At 30.8% G+C, this 21,497-nt stretch overlaps 1 protein-coding gene across 10 annotated transcripts in view; it reads right to left on the bottom strand.

The window, feature by feature from the left end:
- Positions 1-21,497, bottom strand: part of NECTIN3 (nectin cell adhesion molecule 3) — a 122,355-nt gene that overhangs the window by 41,625 nt on the left and 59,233 nt on the right. For 6 of the 10 annotated variants that reach the window (XM_017006125.2, XM_011512663.2, NM_015480.3 and 3 more), the window contains one exon: positions 14,986-18,911. In XM_017006125.2, the coding sequence (XP_016861614.1) occupies positions 18,331-18,911 (581 nt within the window). In that variant the 3' untranslated portion in view covers positions 14,986-18,330. Of the gene's footprint in view, positions 1-5,061; positions 5,144-7,508; positions 7,648-14,985; positions 18,912-21,497 lie in introns of those variants that run through there. The other 4 variants (NM_001243288.2, XM_017006123.2, XM_017006126.2 and 1 more) reach the window with 2 other exon arrangements.

The raw sequence follows: 21,497 nt of genomic DNA, 5'->3' as shown, positions 1-21,497 counted from the left end.
AAAGACAAAAGAATAACAATTTGCAGGAAAAAATGGCTTTTTAAACACTTGAAAAGATGGAGAAACCCACCAAAAGATTGCAAAATTACAATCATATGTACATGCCATTCCTATCAGATTAGCAATAATCAAGTGGTATACATATACATACTATTGGTGAGGTTGTGGAGAAACAGGTATTTTTATATATTATTGGTAGAAGTGCAAAATAGTACAATTCTTACAGAGGATTATTTGGCAATATCTATCAAAACTATAAATACATTTACTGTTTGATGTAGCAAGATAAAATTTAAAAATTTACCCTGCAGATTATACTTGCATACATACAAAAGAGCATATATACCAGGCAATTCATTACAGCATTATTGGTTTATTAAAATCTTTTGACATTACAAACTATGTAATATACACGCATTACAATACTACGTAGACATAAAAAAGATTGAGAATGCTCTCTGCATCTCAATAATAAAAGATCTCCAGTATATTTTAGGAGAAAATGGCAAGATATGTAACAAGGTATATGTATATATTACTTTTATACAGGGGGGAAATAAATTAAAATGCACCTGAGTGTGTGTGTGTGTGTGTTTTCTTGTCTATGCTTAAAGAAACAGTGCCAAGACATAAATTAATAAAAGTGGTTATCTGTAGATGGGGGTAGGGTAAATAGGTATAGGAATGAGACCTTAGAAAACACCTCTTTATATTGTTTTGTATGTATTATCCATACACTAAAAAAATGTAAAAACATTCTTTCTCTACTAACACTGTCATGAATATTTACAAACATTTACTAAAGAATGCAATATACTATAGTAAATTATTGGAAAGAAATTCAGTTTTCTCAGATAGTTAACAGTGCTGACACACTGCATAACCAGTATGACCAGCTTAACATTCCAGGCCAGTGACTCAGGTGTTCAATAGATCTCTATTTTCTTATGCTAAAAGGCTACTTACAGAGGTGGGGAAAGGCACTGCAGAAAAAACAGAAACTACAGAAAATATAACAAAAATAATATTCACTGAGAAGTCTATTACAAAGATAACTGCTAACATTTAAAAATATTTCTATAGTCTCTTTTTCTCTGTTCTTTTTCATACATTATATATTGATATCTCATACTTGATACAGTGATATTATAGACACTGACATTAAATATACTGAAATATAGTATCTGTGATATGGATATTATAAATGATGCAGAAATTTTAACAGATTATAAACTGAAGAGAATATAAAAAAGGGCTTGATTCCTTTACCTACTCATTCAAAACCTGTTTATCGGAATACATAAGGTAATGCATATGTTTATTTGCTTGATTTAGTTATTCCACATATATTAAAACATCACGCTGCATGCTGTATATCATAAAAATATACAATTTTGATCTGTCAAATTAAAAAAATTATCAGGTACTTATATGTGCCAAGCACTGTGTTATGCACTAAGAATATGGTACTAAACAATAGTGACATGACCCCTGCCTTCATACTGCTTACAGTTTACAACAGCAGTTCTCAAATTTTTGGCCCCACGACCCCTTTATGATCTTTTACATCTTGAGGACCCCAAGCACTTTCACTTACAGGAATAACAGCTATCTATATTTATCATGTTATTCATTTAAACTAAGAGTTTTAAAAAATTTAATTCATTTAAAAAGAATAGGAAACCTATTACAGGTTAATATAAACAGTATCTCCTAAATTTTATAAACCTTTTAATATCTGGGTCAAAAGAGGAAAGTTTGATTTTCATGTCTGCTACAGCATTCAGTCTACCGTAATATGTTGTTTAGTTGAAGTATATAAAGAAAAAAAAAAGCTTCACGCAAATACATTAGTTGGAAAAGGGAGACTATTTGAATAGTCTTCAGATAATTAGAAAAATACTTCTGCAATACTAAACTAAAATGTTACAAGTGGTAGTTTCTTAAGGTTAGCTGCTATGTGGAACCTAAAAACACACCAATAAGCTTTTTATATTCTGTGTCATTCATACAAGTACTTTATGCATATATTACATTTCATCACATAGAAAAATTACACACACATACACAAATATACATATTTGTGTATATATAAACCAAATGTCTTAAGTCATGAAAACTGACATGTGTTCTTATACATGAAATACTGTTCATAAAACGGTTTTAGGATTGTTAAAAATTAAAAATTTACCAAAAATCATCTGACAGATAACTACTGTGAAAATAGGTATCAGGAGAGAAAATCTCTTGATAGTTCAAGCGATTGAAAAGCTTTTATTAACATGATATGTCAGCACTGTAAAAATAACTTCAAAAGCCTCATTCCCCATAATATTGCTGCTAGACTGAAATTACTATTATCATTCTCAGTAGAGTCAAATAAATATCCATTTCACGGAATCTCCTGATCATGATTTCTAAGATTAAATACTATTTTAGCTGAAACACAGAATATTCTAAAAGACTTACATTTTCTTTCAGATTTTTCCATATCGGAAATCCAACTATATTCAAAATACTATATATGTTTTCCTAAAAAAGTTCCCTAGATCATTTTAATTGGTTTGGAAAATAGTTTTCACAATGTTTTTAATTCTTCCAAATCAAGGCTAAAAAATAGCATTATTCATAGAATGCAGTGTTTTCAAAAATTTTAATGCAAGGAAATTCTATACTAGTCTTCAATTATTTCATATCAGATTTAAAACTGAATGACATAAGGAAGCCCCTCACATGTATTCCCCTGAAAAATCACAATATGCAAGGGATAAAAAGGAGAACTGTCATTTGCAGCAAATAGATTATATTCCTAAGAAATGTAAAAAAAAAAATAAAATGAGAAAGCATTAGAATGAATAAAAAATTTGATAAAAGAGGCTGCATATAAGATTCATATTTTTAAACAGGCATTTCTATATGCTAATAGCCAATTTAAAAAGTCCATGGGAGGAGGGTGGAGAGAAATCCCAGTGACTATCAAAATGCCTAAAGTAAACCTAACAGGAATGTGGAAAATACGTACCAGAAAAGAGATTCTACACACACACACACACACACACACACACACACACACACACACACACACATCCTACCAGAATAGAGGCTTATCTGGTTTCTAGATGGGAAGAAATGACATTATTGTAAAGTTGTCAATTCTTACTAAATTAATTCAGGAGTTCAATAGAATTTTTATGGAATCTGGGAAGGTAATTCTGAAGTAGACAGAGAAAAGAAAAGTCAAGAAAAATTTTGAAAGAAGAACAGAGATAAGGGAATTTACTGAATATCAAATCATATTATAAAGCAATAGTAATTGAAACAGCAGTATCTTGGTTTAGGAAGAGAAAGACATAGCAATACAACAGAATTAAGAGTTCAGAAACAGACCTAATATGTATGAGAATTTATTTTAGGATAAAAGTGCTCTCAAACCATGCAAAAGTATAGGTAATTCAGAAGTATTTGGACAACTGGTTATCCCATTGGGAAAAATGGGTCTCTACCTCTTTATCAAGTTTAATAAAGTTTCAGATTAAAATGAAATATAAACCATAAAACTATTAGTTTTCTAAGACTTTTTTCTACATTCTAGTTCAAGGAGAGAGAAGGAAATGTAAGGAAGCCATTTCAGACAATACAGAACTTCCAACAAATACAAGCAAAGAGACAAACAGATTTTTACTACATAAAAACGTACAATTTTCTATATGATACTATAAGGTTAAAAAATAAGAGATGAATATAATACAAAAGATTACTATCCACATCAAAGAGTTCCTAAAAAACTAAGAAGCAAAGTTCAAAAAGAAACCAAAAATCTGAAAAATGATACAAAAAGATAATTTACAGAACTATTAATACCTATAACCAATCGATCATGAAAAGCAGATCAACTTCATCCAGGAATCTACAAAACATTTTAATGAGCTACTTTTTCAGTTATCTAACAGGCAAAAAAAACAAATCCAGACCAAAACCAAAACAAAACAAAATACAACAACAGCTCCAGCTAAGAATTTTATGACATTTCACACCACTTGTCAATTTCATTTATTTGCCAAGAGATGAGACTACACTCTTTATGTGAGAACAAAAGGTCTGAAAACATGGCACATCTTCACCATCAGGACACCTAACTGTGTAAGATGACAAAGCTAGTGCCCACTGACAGTGGGCCCATGTGCCAGGGAATGCTCCTTCCTGCCCCATTCTTGGACAGTAAACTGACTATATGGTCAGCTGAAGAACAAAAGCTGAGAACATCTTGGCAGAAACATTCCTTTAGAATTTTTCCACCAAATTAAATCAATGAATTGATGGGCTAATGATTTGCCTTATTCAGGCTGAAGATACAGGACATATTTTAGGAGGAAAGTATTATAGACTATGCCCCCAGAGGTTATACAACCCCAGTACAGCTTAGAGATCCAACATGTTGTATGGGTGATAGAGAAAAAGACAAAACAAACATACAAACACAACCACTAAACTTGAGAATCAAAGAATTCAAATATTCTGATAGTTTACAACTTTCCCAAATACCAAATACAGCACATTAATCCAGGTATAGAATACAAGATAGAAGCACTGAATCAATACTTTCACATGAATTAACGTGAACTGATTCCAAAATAGAATAAAATATAGTACACTCCAAGGAAAAGAAGCCCTTCATGCTACTCAACAGATATTCATTTTCTACTTTTTATTTTACAATAAATCTGTATGTCAATAAAACTGTATTAACAGTAAGTCTTCAACAAGTATTTAGTAAAAAGCCTAATATAATGTTGATTTGTCTTATCTATACTGGCCATAACTTCTTGTTTGTTGACAAAATTTGATCTCTTAAATGTTTCAGAGAAATGACTGAGCATGTTAAAACTTAGGTATTGCTATGTAATCTTTAATGCATAATGACTAAACAACATTTAATGCATAATGACTAAACAACACTTAATGCATAATGACTAAACAACATTTTGAAAGAAATAATACAAATGGCTTAGTATTTTTTAAATTGTATCTTACATTATCTTAAGTGTACTCATGAACACATACCTGAAATAGGTCTTTCTGAGGCAAAGGTGGGGATCGTTCTTCATACAGAGGAGGTGGTTTATGTGTGGGTGGAAGGTCAATCCTGCATTGCAAAGGTTAAAATATGTGATTGTCACATTTAGGAAAAAAAAAAAAAGCAAAAGAAAATCAAGGTTCTCATAAGTTTTGAGAATATTTTCCTCATATTATATAGATAATATTTACTCTAGCCTACCTGCTTAATTCAGTTCTTACATTGCCATTAATCTATCAAAGATCAAAAATAAAAGTAAACATTGGTGTTAAAGGTTGCCATATGGAGAACCAATCACATTTAAAGAAGGAATTAAAATAGAAGAATTGAAATTAAGTAATCCAGTATATGACTTTACTTTAGTGCATGTTTTAATATTTGACTATGTCTATCAACATTTTAGAGTCTCAATACACTTTCCTCCAAAGTGTCATGAGAAATGTTTACACTGTATTTTAGAAATACTTCCAAAATTGATTTTCAAAAGCTCTAGTCACTATTACAATATTCACCAATTATATTTTCAACGTACAGACCATTATAAATCTTGCCATCTGAAATAAACAAAATAACCATTACATTTTTAGGGAACACATTTATTTTTTCCAAAGTTACATGAGCTATCAGAAAATCAACATTTTCATATATTTTAAATATAGTTTACTTATAACAAAGATAGTTTTAATATACCTTATAGCTCTCTGCATTTTACAAAATTTTATAAATATAGTCTCATGCTTTTGAAGATCACAGATAACATTTTCAGTACTTGTGCTTAGAAAATCAAAAAGTTATCTGTATTAAAGGATAAAGGGAATGAAAGCTATAGATCCTGAAGTAATAAATTCTCTGTGGTCTAATAATGTCTCAATGAGCATAAACTAGTATTTTAAATGATTAAAACTTAAGTGATAAATAAAATGGTTACATTAATTTGTTAACCTACCAGTAAATTGTTTTTGAAATTATAGAAAAACCAAGATAATCTGGGAATTAAGTTAACCACATGCTAGTCACTCTTTTTTTTTTTTTTTTTTTGAGACGGAGTCTCGCTCTGTCGCCCAGGCTGGAGTGCAGTGGCGGGATCTCCGCTCACTGCAAGCTCCGCCTCCCGGGTTCACGCCATTCTCCTGCCTCAGCCTCCCAAGTAGCTGGGACTACAGGCGCCCGCCACTACGCCCGGCTAATTTTTTGTATTTTTAGTAGAGACGGGGTTTCACCGTTTTAGCCGGGATGGTCTCGATCTCCTGACCTCGTGATCCGCCCGCCTCGGCCTCCCAAAGTGCTGGGATTACAGGCGTGAGCCACCGCGCTCGGCCGCTAGTCACTCTTGAAAGACTGAAGCACTCCAGTCCCACAAGTATTATACTGAAAGAGCATTTTATCATCTTTTATTTAAAATAATTGTTTTTTCTAATCCAACGAAAATCACAGCAAATTTCTAGCTCCAAGGTGCCATAGGCCATTTAGGTGAAAAAAATGAGGCTCATTGAGATAAAGTACTTGTTCATGGTCATAGTACTAATTTGATCATGACAGAGCTGTAACTGACACACAAATGTCTTTGATGCAAAGACTAGTGCTATAATTGTGCCAAATTAGAGAAGCAAAGACATATACAAAGCATTTATGAAGACAGAACTATATTCTTTGAAAGTCAACCTTATGTCCCAACATAAAAACATTAATAAACCACATAAGAAATAATGCCGTTTGTAAAGAGCTTCACAGTTTATAAAATATTATCTTATTCTACTATCATCTCAACCATGTGAGGTAAGTAGGAAGAGCATTATTCATATTTCTCAGATGAAGCAACAAAGCTGTTGATAGAATTAAGAGAACTGAGACACTGGTCATCTGATTCTACAGCAAGGTGCAATTTCTGCCTTACAACTCTATCTCAATGACTAGGTCAAAAATATTGCTTATTCTTTAAATAAGAAGATGTATATTTTATAAGTCACCAAAAAGAGTATTTTTCTTAAGAAAAAATTTTTAAAACTCAATGTATTTAATAACTTGATAGTTCAGTTATATCTATACATAAGACATGCATATACAATATGAAGAAGCCATTAAAACTTCAAAGATATTTTTATATGTCCTTCGGTTACCACTTCATGAAAGGCTTACATTTCTATTCAGAAGGCAGGACAATATAAAGTATTACTATGTTACCCTTTATAAAGATGTCTAATATGCTCTAGGTGAAAAATGTAAAGCTGTTCTATACCTCTAGCAGCCCCTTGAAAATGTTCATTTAGCAAGATATAGTTTGAGATATTCTGATGAAACCACGGTCATCTAACAAAGGCCTAACATTATCCTTACTTCTATCCCTTAAGTTCTTTATGAGGAGCTGTAAAGGTAAACATAAAGATTGGACACATACTGATATTCATAGTTGAACAAAGGCAAAAAAGTTACCTACACTTTGTCAAGATAGGATGGTCTTTTTTTTCGAGGAGTCAGCAGCACAGTCACAAAGATAGCAATGATGAAAAGGGCAAGAACAGCTCCAATTACCGCTCCAGCTACAGCTATGGAAGAGGTCTGCTTAAATGGAACATCTGTAAAGTAACAAAAATTAGGCTTTTCAAATAATCTTAAAAATAATTCTTGAAATTGCATACCTTTTCTACAATGTGCAAACTATTTGACTGAAGTATGTTATCCAAGAGCCAGGTTAGAGGACCCCAAATTTCATTCATTAGGTTTAGTGGCATTATGCTAAAACCCTTCCTTCTTTCTTATATTACTTTAATACCTCAGCTTAACTTTTTAAAAATTATGTAAATATCCCCAAACATCACCAAGAGAATATATTCTCGATATGTAAAGAGTACCTGGAGAAGAAGAGAGAGAAAAAGATGAAAGTAATTTTAAGTTTGTACTCTAAAAGGTAATTTTAAAAATCAATATTCTCTAATATAAACGACCAGTAATACAGACATTTAGCACTTTTATTCTATTAAAATAAAAAAATTTATTAACAAAATTGAAAAACTTCAAGTGCAAAACAGAAAATATCCCAGATCAAAAAAAATTGACATTGGACACTGTAAAATTTGAAAAATATTTTTAAATATTAATATTAAAACAGGACTTGCACAAAATTTCCCTTAATTCATGCACATTTAATACAAAGTGCACTAAAAATAGCTTCTCTACTACAACATTTAAATAGAAATTCTTCCTATCTCCTGGCCATAGACATATGTCATTTCTGAATACCAACTTCTCTTTCCCACACTGCACCACAATTTTTTAAGAAAGGATTTAAAAAACATATTTGGCTGTTAGCATTTCACATTTTTCCAAAAAATTGAATTACAATTTTATGAACTCCCAAATAAGGGAATGTACTAAAACTATTACAAGTACTACATATTTTCAAATGTTAAGTATTAAGGAATGTAACAAAACAATCTTTACGTGTAAGTATTACTTTGACAATTTCGCTATATTAAATCCAGTAACTACATTTTGTGGAATTTGTGAATTACAAAGTTCCTTCACACATCTGATTTTGTTTTTGTCTTTCTTACCAATAAAAAAAGATACTGAGATAATATTCTATAAATAAAGATATTGCAGCTCTGAAGTTAAATAATCTGCCAAGACCATTCAATCAATGAATAGTAGAGAACACAGAGAGAAATAAAGTTAGGTTGGAGCAGGGTAGAAGCCTCCACTATTACCCCTTGTTGGAAGAGAAGAATGTTTTTGTTAACATATATAACGCCGACTAATGAAGAGGTCTCAGTTTTACTTAAATTGACATAATCTTCACATATACTCTTAAATAACTGCAATAATTGTTGGGACCCAGACACGGCAAAGTTACAGAACTAGCACTATTGGTTTTGAAATATGTTTCATCTACTTACCATGATAGTATTCCCATATAAATACATATTTATAAGTATTTTCCAATTGTTTTTGTTTAAATGTGGGTAACATAGTTTAGATTGCCAAAAAGAATGTTTTACTTTCTTTCAAATTATAAAAATGTCTTTAGAATACTAACAATCCTAAGTTTATTAATGGCTCATTTTGTTTAGCTCATTTTGAAATAAAAATCTTACAACCAGTAAGTCCAAGTCACTCATTTCAATAACGTTTCCAATGAATAGATTCTGAAACATTATAACTCTGTCATTCATGGTGACCTTCATTTTCTAATACCAGCCTGGTTTATCTATTGTTGCTCAATTTTCTAATCTATCTCCATTTGAATATGTACTAGATTAAAAAAAATATTGAAACCCAGTACAGCCAAATATCATTCTGCACTTGTAAATGTGAGAGAGATTTGGGATGACTTACGGATAATCTATATTATCCTTTTCCCCACCATATAGATTATAACTTTGACCACTGAACACAGCCATAAAGTAGATGGTCCTACTCAATCCTTAATAGTAGGCCAGTTGAAACTATTAAGGTTATGCAATTTGACCAAGGTCATACATCTCTAGTCAGTGGCACAAATAAAAAATACTAATTGTCAAGTACGTTATTTACTCCACACCAATTATTCTAAAGGTCTTCCTCTCTTGGAAATTTTTCTTTTGCTAAAGAAGACCTATCATGTTTGCCCAACTGTACAGAATTTAAATTTTTGTTCTTATTTTGATGACAATGTTAATACCGTAAAGGTTTTTTTTCAAAAATACTTTTGAAAAGTTCATGTTACTCTTTGAGTGGGGCTAAATTAAGATTCTCAATCTAGAGATCATTATAAATTTTTTATCAAACTATACATTTCCTCTAAGAAAGCCTTTAACTTCAACAATAATCTGAGGTTTGGTAGTGCTCTGTAATAAAACCACATAATGTAGACTTTTAATCTCTTAATTTCCAACTTTAAATAGACACTATTTTTAATATCTTGAAGTAATGCTTGTCTAAATATATATTCTTAAACATTTTAATTACAATCTATCCAATTTTGTCACACTAGTCTTATAATTTCTAGCTCTAGGATTCTATGAGAGTTGACTATATCACAACACTTCCTTCTATCTTAATTTGGACATCTTCATTTCACCTGGTTCCAGTCATTCTTTATCATATGTATCCTCTTTCTCCCATACCTCTTTGTAGTATTAGAATAGGCTGGTAGCTGCTGAAATGAGCAAATGGAGGAAAAACTAGCTATGAATCTATTTCCCCACTAGATAATCTACTTTATGTAGGTCAAATGATTATGCTAAATAAGCATATGGGATATATTTCATGTTTTCTTTTCTGATTCTAATTGAGAAAAAAGGTAAGTACTTAAGGTGTTAATAATTTAAGGGTATTAACAGTTGATGAAAACCAGTATGAAAGCAAAGGAGGAGCTCGAATCTTTTGCATTCAAGTATTTTGATGAAAATTGGTAATTTAGCCCCAACACTGTTTCGCACATATCTCAGCCCAAATAGACAAGTATTTTGATGAAAATTGAGAATTTAGCCTCAACACTGTTTCCCCCTTTTCCCAACCCAAATAAACATATACATACTTCATAGACTCTATATCCCAATAAAACCACTACAGAGGAAAAAAATTAAGTGACCAAATGTATAAACATGGCATTTTTAAACACTAAGGTAGTTTACTGAGTGAATGACATGAAACATTACCATCGACCTAAGGAGATGTTCTATTAAGAGCAATATATGCTTACAAGAGGCAGAAAACAAGACAAAACTTATAAAATAATTACCACTAAAAGAGTGGTGCATGCATTTCTAAAAAAAGACCAGCTTGCTGTTATCACAGTAGTAATGGTAACTCATATTCACTGGAAACTTACCTCCAAAAATAGAAAAAGAGCATTCTCCAACACAACAAGAGTATACTGACACACCTAATTAAAAGATAGCATGCACATGTCTTATGGGGAAGATGTTTAAAAATCAACTAGTTATCAACTAATAAAAAATGAATATAAGAAATGACTTTCATTACTTTTTGGAAAAAAGTACAAAAATATTATAAATAATAAATTGAAGTATTTTTATCATTCAAAAACAAATAATTTTTAAAGTAAAGCTATTGAAACATATGTGTACACCTAATTCACATCTAAAACTGAGACATGCCCTATTTTTTTCTCTTCAGGCCCTTTGACAAAACTTTAGTGATGACATCACAGGTTTATGTGTTGGCCTACAAAGTTATCTTCCCACCTTTGATTTGCTCCCATACTATATATTATTGTATTACCAATTTTCCCCCATAAATAATCCCATTCTTCATTTGTAATAGCCCCTTTAATGTTTATTTTCTCAATATGACTTATTAGCTTTTATATCCACATGAACATTTATGTCTCACTACTTTTTTATTAAGATGCTCTATTTGGATCAGGTCAGTCTCCTCAGCCCCTCATCCAAAAAATTACCCCAAGCACCTAGTATGTGTCAGGCCTTGTGCTAAGTGCCAGGAATGCAGGGATGAATTTTACGTGGTAATAGCAAAATCCCCCAAAGTAGAGTGAAAGAATCCATGAAATATATGTCATCCAGGAAGTATAGAAATATTACCACTTATCTTTAAAAAAGACATTTCATGAAAATAACTGTTTACTAGTATATAATACATGGATTGGCACTGGTTACTCCCCTTGTCCAAGTATCAGGTGTTTTCCTGCCACACAGAGCACCCACTGTATCTACGGGGAGAGTGAAATGGGACAGTTCCAGAAGAAAATTAAGTAGACAGCCCTTCACTTGGTTGTTCCTTCACATCTTGTGACACGATTTATGAGAGCTCAGCTGAGTGAACTAATAACTTATCTAGATTTAACCAGTAGTCAAAAATGTAAAGGAAGAATTGTATGAGTGTCCCATGTAACAGGTAAATAACTAAGACACATGGACTCTGTGGAGATATCAGTGCTAATCTACATGTTATATACTAATAAGAGTTTATTCATAGTATCATTCCTGCAAATAATTGGCAAAAAAACCCCACATAAGACTAATAATACTGGTACTAATAACTGGCAATACAAATATCTTACTCTTAATACACAAATTTTATCAGTTAGCTACAGTATGAAGTAAAATTTGCATGGCAATCTAACCAGATATAACAAGTCAACCAAAAAAAAAAAGATCAAATGCATCAGCAGACCAGTTAAAATATATTTACATTTACTCATTAACAATAAACCTCACACTAAACCTATAATGTGCTGAAACAGTAGCTAATGTGAAGGAGAAGTTATTGATTAGCAAGACATTGAACAACCAAATATCTAGAACATAAAGATAAACTCTAAAAATAGTGGTTGGGATGAAAACTGTTAACATCCAAACAATCTACTTCTTCCATTTGAATCTATTTGTTTTTGAGAGGTGGCATTTTAGTTATCACATCTAAAAACCAAATATCAACATGCACTGACCATGATATCAGACCTTTCAATCACTGAATCAGAAAGTATAAAATTGAAAATAAAAAATGCATGAAGAACATTTAATCATGTAGTTTTACCAAAAATGTTTTAGTAATAAAAAAGTTAACTTTTAAAATGAAATGCAATCATATTGTTTCCCCAAGTCTTAGTTTTAGTGAGAAAAAATTAACATGTTAAATATATTATCAGATAGCTAAAATTTCCATTTTTGAATATTTTATAATGCATGTTAGCAAACTGCTGTAGTAGCACATGTATAATAGGAGTACAGACTAATTTTGAACTGGGAGGTACACTTAAAGGAGTTTTTACTGATCTGGAGAAGAGAAATAAAAACCAGAAGAAGATGTGAGGTTATGATAGATAAAGTTGATAGGAAGCAGCATGACAATTATTCAGACATCTAGGTATATGATATGGTAAAAGAACAGGGTTAATAGATCTAGGCATCGAGCACCAAATGGCAGCTAATATCACACACAAAAAAGTAGGCATGTACTTTCTGATGGAAAGACATAGCACCACTTATGTGTGATGTAATCTTGCCCTCAAATTAAACCTCAATCTAACCAAGGCTCTAGATCTCACTATCAATTTACAGAAAATACAGAGGCATGTGTGTGGGATGCAAATGGCAGAATTTAAACTGGAAAAATTTAGAACAAATGAAGCAGTTTCTTTAAGAAATAAATTGCAAGGGAAAATGGGGTGGGGGTAAACAGAGTAAAAGCTATTTCTAGCAATCACATGAATGGATCATATTTGGAAAGCCTGATTAAAACTGCAAAATACATACAATTAGAAATTTGAATGCTCACTTGACAGAATGTTAGGGAATTATTATTAATTTTGGTGTAATAATGATACTGTGGTTACTTTCTAAAAAGGTCTTTTATTTTTCAAAGCTATATACTGATTTATTTACAGATGAAATAATATCAAGAAGGATTATGTAGGTAGGGGTCTAAATTGAATAAGACTGACCAGGAACTGATGATAACTGAAGCTAGTACATGGAGGTCCATTTCATTATTCTGTCCTATTTTTTGTATAATTTTCCATAATAAGAAGCTTTTTGTTGTTGTTGTTTTTTAAGAAAGGCCCAGTCACCTAGATCCTACCTTTGGCTTTTAGATAGAACTGTCACTTTACAATTAGGTTTTCCCTGGGATATTTCTCTTAATTGAGACTGTACAACTTGCATATCATGTCTATGTAGCAATATTATGCACATAAGGAAATGAGGCTCTAAAACTATTAATCGTGTTTTGAAGATTACATTTTAAAGTTATTGCTCTAAAAGGTCATTGCTCTAAAAGGTCACTTTCAATCAGCTTCATTAGCAACCAGCCAGAAAAAACAGCAGCTATTAAAAGGCAAATGAAACAAGATATATCCCAAAACTGAATCATGTTTTATCCTTCTAAATTGAAATAAACATAACTGTCACGAAGGTTCAAGAAAATAAATGATACCTAAGGGAATACAAGGCAAAACTTTTGTAAACAATTTTGGTTTCAAGCTCTTGATAAAAACCTAACACTACTCAAGTCAAAGTGTCAAGTCAAAGTATATATGTACTTTACAAAAAAGCAGATGACTGGACTATAACAGAAAAAAAACCCAGAAATATATAAACAGAAAAGCATTTTTAAAAACAGATGAAAGTTGGTTTACTGTGCAAACCCCTCAAAGACTGTTTCATGCATGAATTTTTTTTATTGGGATACCAAGAAGGGAACAAAACAACCCAGTCTAACTGTGTATTATCAAAGAAAAACCCTGGTCAAAAATAGTTTAAAAAATACAATTTAAAAAGCCAGAAATAGGAAACAAAGTGATGCATCACAAGGTGATTATAAACAATTCAAAGCAATGGCATTTCTAATCAAAGTAGCTCACAAAAAGTAGTAAGTAAAAAACACTAAATGTCAACTTAAGAAATACCTTATGAAATGTGTTAATTCCAAATTGAAAGCCAATATATAAAATTTGGCTTATGCCAAAGTAATAGCAAAAACATATAAAATGGGTTTTAACAGCTAGGGCTACAGAGATAAGATAATTTATAACTATGGAGAATGTTAATTCATGATTGGGAATTAAATGGTTAATCAAAAATAAAATATTATAGTTAATGCATGCTGGGCTTAATACCTAGGTGATGGGTTTGTGTAGTAAACCACCATGGCACATTACCTGTGTAACAAACCTGTACATGCACCCCTGAACTTAAAAGTGGAAGAAAAAAACCCAACCACCAAAAAAAAAAAAAAAAAAAAGGAAAAAATTTTACAGTGGCCAACATGCCAACTATCCTCAATCTGATATTACAGTCTTGTTTTAGGAAAACAGGTTTCTGATTCCCACAAATCATTAATTACATTTTGATAATTAAAATAAACTAGGTTACACACGCACATACACACACACTTTAGTAAATACGAGGACAAAGATGGTAACATAGAGCAATGAACTTATTACAGAAATATGCCTCTAAAGAACTTTTTTAACTTTTATTTAAAGATTTCATGCATGGCTATTGGGGCTAACACCTAATACACAGGTTGGTTAAAAAAGAAAAAACAAAACAAAACAAAACAAAACAAAAAACACCAAACACAACAAAACCAAAACTTAGCGCGGGTACAAACTAAAACCCAAACACAAACACAATATACAAAAAATTTGAGAAAGGAGCTGTTTATGAAGGATGCATTTTCTAATTAACAAGTAAACAGGAAAGACAATTCAATCTACAATCTACTCTCCTATTAGAATTAAAAATTCAAAATGGGTACCATTTATTCCTTTCTTATATTTTACATTGATTACTTTCATACATAAACTTCTTACTTGTTCATATACTGTGTTTTAGCAGTATTTATCAAAAACTCAAATCAGATGTTTTCACATATAAAATGACTACATTTCTCTCAATTTCTGTACTTATACACTGTACTCCTACAGCTCCTTAATGCAAAATATTTAGCCGTGGGTTATCTTATAAAACTTTCCTGTATATGGCTATTAGAAGCAACACTTACTACTGAAAACCTTAATAGTTTCCTCAATATTAGAGTTAGCAAATAGAACCCTACTAGGCACGTGGTAAAATACTAAATCTTTCAACTCTAAAGCACTTCTCAAATATCACTTTTAAAGTTAACCCCGAGCCTACTTTAGTTTCAATGTATTTTAATAAAAAATGGCAGAAAAATAAGAGTTGCATTCATCTTCATTATATCATTGAAATATTTTAACCAGTATGAAAGAAAACTCTCAAGTGAATTTACAAAATGCTAAAACAGTTCAAACCATATGAAAGAAATAAATATAAATATGGCCAAAAATAGTACAAATATTCATTTTTTTTCACGATAGTAGAATTTTCATATATACCTGTCAAGTAGTTATGAATATCACTGGTATTCAAAAACTAATTTAACAATGTCTTTATTTAATGACTATTCATGTTTTCAAACAAGTCTCTATGTACAGTAAATATACATAAAGTTCTAATAAACAACAGTGCAATGCTTCCCAAAGTCTTAAGCACTAGTATCAGATTCTTACAACACAGAAACCTTTTAGTTTGCCAAATGATTGGATTAAGGATACAGAATATGTCAAATACTCACTTGTGGCTTTCCAGGTCACCCTCTCCCGCCAAACAAACACAAAAGAAACAAACAAAAAAACCTAATCGCACAAATAACCACAATGTAAAAGGAAGTTCATAATCAGTATTTATATTTTTGAAATATATTTCTTAAAATACACTGCTAATTTCCTTCAGATTATACTCCAGTTGAGATTTATATAGAATCCTAAATGTGATTATTCTGTTCAGATCCATACAGTATTTCAAACCATTATTTTAAAAGATGAAATTTTGATTTTAAAAAAAGCCATAGTTTTACATCTTTCATGGGGAGAAATTTTAGACCCATCTTTCTTCTGGCCACCTCATCGTTTAAATTAAAAATAAAGTCACATCAATCACAGTGTTTTATCAAAAAGTTTTCTTCCAAAAACTTGCACTAAAAAGTTGTAATATTTGTATATAAGTGATTAACCATATTAAAACCCAGACATTTGTAAGAAGATATAAGTGAACTTTATTTATCTGTATCCTTAACCTGATACTACAGCCTTATAATAAGTATTACTTTTGGGAAGAGAAATAAAAGAGGTTTCTAATTTCCACAAAATAGTGCTAGTTAAAATGAAGAAAACTAGTTTATAATCCTTCAGAATAAAGCTTTCACTATTTGCAAGATACCATGAACATGTTAGAATTTTGCCCCCTAAATGTTTTAGATTTGATGAATATTGAGAAAGGGCTGGTTGGGAGGGTTTAAAAAGTACCTACTACTTTGCCTTTTTATTAACAAAATAATATATTTAATTTATGATTCTCCTACTAACTTCCACTTCATTTCACTGGCAAAATGGTCACTTTTTCAAATGACTTAGCAATAGAAAAACTATCCTTTCAGCTTCAAAATAGTTGTCACAATAATTTTGTAAGCCTCCACTGTAGAAGCAATTTAATTACCTCACAAACAAAAAGCACATTTGAAGTTTAGGTAACATTTCTTTCTCAAAAGATAAATGATTCAGAAGGAATATATGTAATTATGTAAAAAAACAAAAACAAAAAACCTCATGTTTCCAGTTTTAATCGTAAAAACAGAAATCTTAAAACACATACATACACTTAGGAGGAAAAAGGAGATGAATGCCAATGTCCATTAGCAAGTGTTACCGACTAATTCTATAATCTAGTTTTTTCTAGTTATATCCAAAGTTCCAAGTTTACTCTAAAATTTTCTTTCTGTACATTTACCCATTTGAACAACATCAACATTAAATAACTAAAACAAGATGGTCCATAAAATTCTTTCTATAGATTGTTGGCTGAAAGTCTCATTTCTAAAACTAGTACTTCAGTATTCCGAAATGCTCTCTCTGCGTCTTTTCATTTCTATTAGTATGTTTAGGACATAAAGCATTAAAATAAGGCTACTGCTAATGTACCAAAATCCATGTTCCAGAAAGGAAAAAAAAAAACTAATAATTATCATGTTTGAAAGGTATGTATTTTATTACTCTTGCAGGTATTTTGGACAAAAATATTGACCAGCTAATTATGCTCTTCCACACATCATGTTCACTGAGTTTACTACCACAGTTTTAGTGCAACAAAATATCTTTGAAAAGCCACTCTACAGTAATTATGGCAAGGCTCATTAATATGCAGAGGTAAAGATTTCATTTGTATAGAAACTTAGAAAATAATGTTTGAAAAGGAAAGCCATTCCATCAGGCTAAATATTTTTTGTATATTAAAAAATATATATAAATATTTCTTGAATTAGTTTTATAGTCAATTTTGATGCAGTGTCATTGAGTGGTGATAAATTTTGAGAGGTATATGTTAAACAAACATCATACTTGAGATTATAGTCTTAGGTAAACATTTAATACACAATGTCAAGGTAGTTCCCTTTTTAAAAAATTTTTGTACCAAGTAAGTCATACATTTAATGTTGACATTTCTTCTTACCTGTGTGCCTCACACCAATAAAGTACTCTGCATTAAAATTTAAATCTTGAGACAGTAGTACAGCATTGAAAAAAAATTGTAAAGCAGCTTAGATACACTGAACTCAGATTTTACATTTTCATTTGTCAGATTAGAATATAAAAAGTAAGCTTGAAAATCAACTTGAAAAAGCTTATTCTTCCTCAAGAAAAAGTATGAACAATCTGAAAATGATCAACTAGTGTGAATGAACATTGTACATAGTTAAGTCACATTCAGTGGTTGCTAAACATACCACTCCCTCCTGGAAATTACGGAACCATCTACATGTGAAACTAAGTCATCTTCGTTTTCATCATAATGTTCATCACTGACAAACTTCATTCCCATTTTTAGATCTTCATAATAATCCATTGGTCTTTCAAACCTATTGAGATTTTCTACATTGTTCCACTGAGTTTTTTCAGGCTCTTCTAAATAGTCTTTACGTATTAGATTGTTCACTGGATTTTTGTTTTCTTTTTTTACACTGTCTGGGTAAGAATCAAGCTCATCTTGTTGAAGAACATCTATTTGTGATTCTTTTTGCATATCTGATGGTGGAATGTAGTTCTTGGCAAAGTAGTCTCCACGAAACGTCCGTCTTCTCCTATAGCAGAATATTCCAGCCAAAACACTTACAAGTACTATGAAGAGAGCCCCACCCACTACACTAGCAATGATCGTGGCAATTGTGTCATCCTTAATTGTTGCCAAAGTTGACAATGGGAAGGGCAATTTTTTAGGTTCTGTTGCTAGATCCTCGATGTCAGCAGTTGAGGGATGCCACTGAATTGTAGGCTGAAGGGTGGTAGTAGTAGGAGGATCTAATGGAAACAGTAAAGATAGAGAAGACACAGAAAGGCAAAGAATGTCAATGCAGGCTGATTCAGCAGCAAGTTGACAAGACAGCACAGTTAATGAATATATATTCATAGTAACAATAGTTTTTCATTCTTAATTTGATTAAGATTAGAATGTAGTGGTACTCATCTATTTAAAAAGAAAACAACACTGACATTTAGTCAGTCACCAATAAAGAGAAAGGAATAAAACCTATGGTGTAAACCTATGTTGTAATTCTTCCATTCCAAGTTTATGAGTGATATTGTACTCCAGAAAAGAGGTCCTTATTTTTTTAATGAAGAGTATTACTTAAGTGTCCTATTACATAGCAAGCTTAATAATTACTATAACAAAAAAGTAAATCAAGTAATTCAAATGTACATTTTCTTAGCCAGTAGCTCAAGAAAATAAAAAGAATAAAAAAATTAAAGTTTTTCTTAATATCCATTTTACCTATTAATAATATGGTTTATTTTTATAAGAGCTGAGCGTATCTTTAAAAGAATGAAAAACTATAGACTCTTGTTAAGTGGGCATAGTATAAGCTGTTGGTTTAATAATTCTCTCAAAAATATTTTCTTTAAATAAAAAAGCTCAAAATTTTTGGAAGGAGATATATAGTAAACACTATTATTTAGTAATTTAAAAAAATAAAAAAGCATATGTTTAAACTTATGTTAGCCTGATAGGCTATTACCAAAGGAAACTAATAGACAAAGTAAAAATATGTTATAAAGTAATAAAAATGTCATCACCATGTCTAACACCCTATGGGCAAGTTATCTAAACATTCAGAAATTTAAAAACTTCAACTATATCTGCAAAATTTAATGTCACTACTTTAGGATGGAGTCTCAAAAAGAACAGCTAATATTTTAGAGAGAACATTCTAATAATACTTAAATATTAGATGCAAAGGAATCTGTGTATTGACATTAGATAACAGAGTAAATAGCCAGTAATATTAAAAAGCAACTAAACATAAATAGCAAAAATTAAAGACTGGTTAATTATCAATTAAGTAGTATTTATAGGTCATGTAACACAAAACTGTAGAGTTTGAAGAAAGGGTAAGTTTAAAAATATTGTTTCCTTCACAGTGAAAGAAATAAATGACCCAAATGGTAATCTCCTATAATTAATTTTTAAATGAGTGGTACTGATAGAGCTTTAAAAAATGATTGTTAGAAAAATACTAAATCTACATGGGGTAAGTTATTCTAATATTACAAGCTAAAGAAAAATACTTACTGAACAGGTTTCATCACGGAATGCCATATGTATAGAATGTGGTAAAAATTTAGCAAGTACAGTATAAAATTTAATAAGTACAATATAACTAATTTTGAGTTTAAATTTATAACAGGTAACCCTGTCAAGTACTTTGAGATGAATATTAGTTATCAGAGTATATTTAAGTGAATCAAAGAAGTTTTAATTTATGAAAACATTCACTAATGGAACTAATTCAACCCCAAGAAAACAAGTGTAGAATTGAAGGATCATGTCTAATATAGAAGTAGTAAAGTCTCACGTAATGCAACTTCACAGCATTAGAACATTAAAAATATAGACTAAAAATTAAATAAGACGATTCATGTATTTTCTGAGGAAGCAGAAGTACTGGGAAAGTCAACTTTAATGTATTGAATGTCATCCTTACAATGATTTGCAAAGAAAAAAATATAATAAACTGGCATCAGCATATTTAAATTAAAGTAAAAATCATCTAATTATTTATAATTTAAATACTTTTCTGCCAGTAGAGTTTTAAAGTTTTTCATGGTTCTTTATATGCTAGTTTTTTTCAGAACAGTGACTATATTTGAGCTCTCACCAAATAAGACACATTTTTACCAAGTATCCTAAATAATGAAACCCTGACATTTATTACTTCTATTTGCAAATTTCTTTATATGAACACAAATGGTCATCTATTGTCCATTTCACTCAGATTTAACAAAATATGGCTTTGAGAAAAATCTAACCAAAAGGGTTACTTTAAAATCTTATTTTTGTTGATGGTTCTAGAAATGTTTCAACCTACCATCCCACTCCTTAATCAGTGTTAAAAATAACTGAGCCTCACTAGTAATATCATTCCATGAAAGAGAGGCCATTTAATACTTCATTATTTTGCATTTTAAGCAATGGAAATATGACAATGCGTGCAAAATATTTTCTCTGTTTTCTAATTTACAATGACAGTCACAATTATTATAAGGTAGGACTATTTTTCATCACCATATCATGATTTTAAATCCTTCCCAAAAGTATTCCTCATTTTTCAGTTAGATATTATTTTTCATACTCTTTGCTGACTGTGTGATAAATGAGTATATAATGGATATAATGACTTTTATAGTTCTTCTCACCCAAATGAAGAACTTTAAGTTTCCTTTTCTAATGAGTTCTGCCAAACCATAAAATAGTCATGTAATGCCCCGTAAAAGGCATATTTTAGTCTTCTAAGGTATATTTTTAGTGTCATAAAAATTAATTGGCTTATTTTTCTTTTAGACTTCATATAGGTGTTTAAATATATGAAATAATGCATTTTAATGTTT

Source organism: Homo sapiens, chromosome 3 (genome assembly GCF_000001405.40).
Source record: "Homo sapiens chromosome 3, GRCh38.p14 Primary Assembly".
Lineage (NCBI taxonomy): Eukaryota > Metazoa > Chordata > Mammalia > Primates > Hominidae > Homo > Homo sapiens.
The sequence above is the reverse complement of the archived record's forward strand: the minus strand, read 5'-3'. Positions and strand labels throughout refer to the sequence as shown.